This window comes from Homo sapiens, chromosome 1 (genome assembly GCF_000001405.40).
Source record: "Homo sapiens chromosome 1, GRCh38.p14 Primary Assembly".
Lineage (NCBI taxonomy): Eukaryota > Metazoa > Chordata > Mammalia > Primates > Hominidae > Homo > Homo sapiens.
The window spans coordinates 30,037,613-30,043,481 of NC_000001.11; positions in this window are offsets into that span (position 1 = coordinate 30,037,613).

The following is a 5,869-nucleotide window of genomic DNA, read 5'->3' on the forward strand; positions in this document are numbered from 1 at the left end:
GACTATCCCTCACACACCCATGGGTAAATGTCACCTTCCCAGCGGGTGGGTGGACAATGGACATTTGTGCCATGTGGGGCCCTGCCTGAGGCCAACAACCAGGGAGCCAGGTGGGAAGAAGGGGGCACGTAAGGCCAGGGCTGGGGGAGGCTGTGTGAGTGGGAAGTGGATGAGGTAAGACCTCAGTTCTCATGCCAGTCCCACCTATCAGCAAGCATCATATGCTCTTGCCCATCCGTAGACCAGAGGTGAGGTTTGGGTCACCTAGTCCCGGGTAGTGCTCACATTCTGGGTTCCCACTGGGGTTGGTGTAAGGATTAGAATAATTACTAGGTGTAAAGCTGAGAACAGGGCGGGGCAGACAGCAGGCACCTACCAAATGCTTGTGGTGGTTGTTAGTCTAGACTCTAGGAAGGAGATTGGCTCTGAGCAGCGTGTTCACCTCTGTTGTCATGTGTCAGGCCCTGGGTGAGAGAGGCTGAGTGATCAGCTCATGTTCACATGGTTGGGAAAGCAGAGCCAGGCTTCAAATCTCCATCTGCCCCGAGGCCTGGGCTCTCAGAGTCCCCTTAGTGATGCCCACTGACCTGAATCACTGGATCCACTGCTCCCAGGGGGGCACTGGCCACTGTCCTCTGGGGAAGGATCAGCTGGAAGCAGGCTGCCCTCTCTGACTCACAGCATGTGGACTCTGCCCATGTGTCACCCTGGACCAGGCCTCTGTCACCCCTGACCTCAGCCCTACAGCTGCCTCTTCTCTGGCCTCCGTGCCTCCATCTCCTCTTGGTGATCTGACCAAGTCACTTCCATGATCCCTACTGGCCCGAGAATGAAGTCCACACCCCTCATCCTGGCATCCAAAGCTGTGGTCACTCTCGACCTGACATCTCTGGCATTGTGGAGGCCACAGCCCCATGCATCACTTTGGTCCAGCCTCACTGGACCATCCCCCACCACTCCTGGCTTTTGTGCGTGCTGCTTCCTCCACCTGGGATGCCCTTTTCTATCTTCAATGCCAGGGAAACTCCTACTCATCCCTCAAAGCCCAATTAAGATTTTACATCTCCTTCTCTAACAGCCCCAGGGCTGACTACCTGCCCCATGTCCCCTTCTCTCCCACTCATAGGTTCCTCATGCCCTAACCCTGAGTGGCTGTCATTGTCCATTTACAAGTCTGCCACCCTGGAGACTATCAGGGCTGCAATGGCCAAAGCCACATCCACATAGTGCATGCCAGGAGGGTTTTGTCACATTTGTTACTGGGACCCGTTGCCCTTGTACATATTGTCGTTTAAGATTTCTTCCCACTCGTTCCCAGAGCTCTAGGTCTAGTGTGCCTTCTTCTGGGAACCACGGGTTATGGAAAACAACAGTTTGCATTATGTCCCTTAATTGGGCCTCTGAGACCAAGGCTCCGCTAGCTTTAAGCAGCTGTTTCAATACTTTTATATACTGTTGCTGTTGAGCTGATAACTGTTTTCCCATGATGAAACCCTAGCTTGAAAATCCCCTCGAACTTGGAAATCCAAGTAATAGGAACCCAACGGGCACCAATTACTTACTGTGCAGTCACCTCACTTTCGTTTCCGAGGGTTCCACTGCAGTCCATTGCAGCCTTCCTCACACAGGGCCCACCTGCCGGGTCTGTCCCACAGACCCTGGCCAAGAGAGGAAATCAGTACTCAGACACTGATGTATGTAGTGTAAGAGCAGCTAGGTGACTGCCTGGCTCTAGTGGCCAGAGAACAGCCCCGAGAAGCTGGAGCTGCTTGCTTTTATTCAGTGCAGGCACAATGCTGAAAACCTGGAGCCAACACAACCTGTAGGTAATTAACATTTATTGTTCCCCTTTCAGGGAACCTCACGCATTTGGATGATCAAAGGTCAGTTCCTGGTCAACATAAGTAAACAAGCCTGTTTAAGACAAATTCCCCCACATTCCCTTGTACCTACTGCTGCCTCAGGGTTATAGAACAGCTGCCTTCAGCTATTCTACCCCAAGGCTCTGCAAAACCTTCCAACCTTTCAGAAGGTTTGTGCCCTTTCCCTACAGTTTTTTGCACCACTCTGACCAGTCCTCCACAATCATCCACTCATTCATTCATCCACTCATTCACAAGCCTGCAATGAGCACCCACTCCAGGTTCCAGGCCAGGATCCAGGAGCTGGGGCTACGGTACTGCAAGTCAAAGCCTTCCCGCAGGGGTCTGTTCAACGCACCCCCTAGAAAGCATGTGATTATGCCTCAAATTAAGTGCTCTGAAGGAGACGAAATGGACACTCCAAGAGGGCAAACACATTTAGATCAAGGCCGGGCTGGCAGTCAGACAAGCGTCCTGAGGAGACCACAGGATGTACAGACTTGACGGGAGAGGGGGGCCAACCTGTCCACGGAGGGGACAGGCCCCAGGTGGAGAAAGCAGGTGAGCAGACACCCCAGGGGGATGAGAAGAGTGTCCAGGAGGGACCTGGGGCCTGGGACCTCCAGGGAGGGGGACTGGGGTGGGAGCAATGAGGTCAGAGCAGTGGTGGGGGGTCAGGTCACCCCAGTCCTCATGGCCCTGAAGGGTGGAGACCTGATATAAAAGCAGAGGGAGGCCCTGACAGGCTCTGAGCAGGAACGCAACTTGATCAGATTTTCGTTTGAGCCAGTCACTCTGGTGATGGGTGAAGAATGGCTGTGGGGCCAGGTAGGAGGAGGCCCACAGGTGAGGTGGCTGTGGACTGTGATCAGGGTCAGGGGAATGGAGAAAACGGGAGACTCAAGGGGAAATTCAGAGGTTGGTTGGAACAAAGAATGAATGGCCTCTTGAGTGAGGGGCTGTTGGCGGTGTTATGGGGGGTCAGGCAGCAGAACTGCCCCTCAGATTCCCCCACTCCTAGCACTTGGCAGTCCAGGTCCCGGGGTGATTGGGGTCCCCAACGTCATGACTGAGAAGCTCTGTCCACCTCTGAATAAGCCCCATGTGATCTCTCAGGTGGAACTTGCTGTCCTGATGGGGCTGAGACACAGAGTTGGAGGAGGAGCCAGGCTGGTGGAGCGAGGTGTCTCCATCTGAATCTTCCTTGATGGGCTGGGTGACCTTGTGCAGGACTCTGCCCTCCTCTGGGCCTCAGTTTCCCCATCTGCAAAATGAGGAAGTCCCTTCCAGCTTCAAACTTCACTGGTGAAACCAGTCTGCTACCCTCAGACCCCCCATCACATGAGCAAGGCTACAGGAGGGCACGGGATTTTGGGGCAAGGTGACCACTAATGAAGTTCAAATGGGGTCTTCCAGGGAGGCCCCAGAACCCAGTGTCCTCCCTGTGGTGGTCTCAGTGAGGACTGAAGGGGTTACTTCTTGTGATGTTCAGAAAAAGCACCAGGTACTCTCCCCACCTACCCACCCTGGGATGAATTCAGTTTGGTAAAGTAGTAGTTATGCTGGAAATTTAATCATCACTTTGGATGATAAGGGAATTGAAAAATAAATTGAAAGTGTCAAGTACTGCATTAGGGGGAGTGATGGAGTAAGGCAGGGGGCCGGTCACAAGAAATTACACAAATTTTTGTTTTCATAATTGTAGGATTAAGAATCAAGGGTGATGGGGCCAGAGGAATGGGGGCATCCCATGTGCTGGAGCCTGCTCAAACCAGCTCATGGAGCTGATGGGTAAACTTTAAAGAATTTTGTCAGGAGGTTATTAAACACAGACCACTATTAAAAATTAAATTATATTAACATCTGATGAAAAAATTACAAAGGTAACAAGTACTCAGAATTCATTAATTCCCAATTCTCTTTTAAAACTGTACTATTGCATATGCCTTTGAGATTATTTACATCTATCTTATCTATTGAGGTTAATCTATTTGAGGTTAGTTACAGCTATTGTATGGTGGAAACACTATATCATAGCGTGTTACTCTGTTTCTCTCCCAAACTTCCTGTTTAGTGACAATTCACTGAGAGCTTGAAATTGACCGTGGTGGAAGTACTTACACCACGGAGATGGGCAGACACTACCACTCAGGGCTTTTTTTTCCTGAAGAGCCAGTTGTTAAACATTTACAGATATACCACTGAGTTGGGAAAGGGGAGAAGGCAAAGGCAAAAATAGAAGGAGGAGATTCCAGTGTGGAGGTGGAGTCAGCATTAGAGACCATCCAGCCCCAACCCTGAGCCACCATCCACACACTGCGTCTTGGGCAGGTGGCCCTTGATGAGCCACCAGGTCAGATGGGAAACCCCTGTGCAGGTGCAGGCCACAGCCATCAGGCCACCTTGGGGGCCTACGGGCAGGTCACTATGCACAGGGTGAACTGGGCCCCTAACCAAGGCAAGCTCTGCTTCCTCTTCCCTACAACCTGACCTTTCATTGATGGCAGTGGTGGCCCATCTGAAGCAGCCGCTGCCATCACACTGGCTGCAGCAGAGAGGCACGGCCAGGCCTTCACACTCTGTGGAGCCAGCAGGAGCCTATGACAAGTGGGAGCCCTGCCCCTTCAGAGTTGGTGGGGTGAAAGCTCCCCATGTGCAGCTGCAGCCACCCAAGTCATGGCTGCAGACCCGGGCCTCCCTGTGCTCTTGGGGGGCTGGAAGCAAGCAGAAGCCCCACACTTCCGGGTGCAGCTGGCCTCCCAAGTCAGAGCTGCAGACCCAAACCTCTCACTCCATGAAGCAGGCAGGAGCCCCGCCCCCCTGAGCACAGCTGCAGCTGTCCAAACCACAGCTGTAGACCCAGACCCAGATATCTCTGCATTCTTGGGGGCCTGGGAAGGCCCCCCTGCCCTCGCAGGTTTGGATGTGCCTGCTCCTGCTGCTTGGCTGCTCCCTGCTGTCAGCGCATGCTCTGATCTTAGAGCAAGTTCGAGCCTGAGCCTGGGCACTGTCACAGCCTGACTGGGTGTGCACATGCTCAGGGCAGTGCTGACACACTAGACCCCTGCCACCTAGGCCCCCTCCAGACTTTGGGCACTGATGACCATAGGAGGGAAGCTGAGGGGGACTGAGGGCAGCTTGGTACTGGCCTGCAGACATCCCTTGGCACCTACAGCCTGGGGTCCATGAAAGGCAGCAGAAAGCAGACAGCTTCCTGGGTGGAAGGGGGCAGGTCCCTGGTGAGGCCCTACCTTCAGGCTAGTGAGGGCATGAAGGCTGGGGGCCAGGCTGCCAGTCACATGGATCAGAGTGAGAACTTGTAGTGCCCTTTCCAGGCCTGCCCATGGCCACCCATGGACCAATCAGCATGCACTTTCTCCCCTCTGAGGCCCATAAAAGCCCCAGGCTCAGCCAGAGCTGAGCAGATGTTGGGATGACCAGCTGCAGACAGGAGCTACCCACTCCAGGGCCTCCCCTCTGCTGAGAGCTGAACACTCATCAGGACACCCTGCCTGCAGAGAGGGACTACCCACTCCAGGGCTTCCTCTGAGCTATTCTATCACTCAATAAAACTCCTCTTCATCTTGCTCCACTTGTCTGCATACCTCATTCTTCCTAGACACAGGACAAGAACTCAGGACCTACCAAATGGTGGGGCTGAAAGAGCTGTAACAGAAACAAGGCTGAAACACCCCTTGCTTGCCACATTGCAGGTGAAGAGAAAGAGGGAAGAGCTATGGCCATTTGGGGAGCCCAGATCTGGGAGCTCCCCAAGCAAGGGCTGTGACTCCCTCTTTGGAGCCCTGTGGTTCCTGGAGTCTCCATGCTTCCAGAAACCACCATGTTCCCCAGTGGCAACTGTAGAAGCTGCATGTGGTGCACCTGGTCCAGCTGTAGCCTCACAGAGAGCTGGCACCTGTGCCTGCACCTGGAGCTGCCCACCTCGCTGCAGCAGCTGGCATGCCTAATTGCACAGTGGCTGGACCCCATGCTCACTTGCTCACACA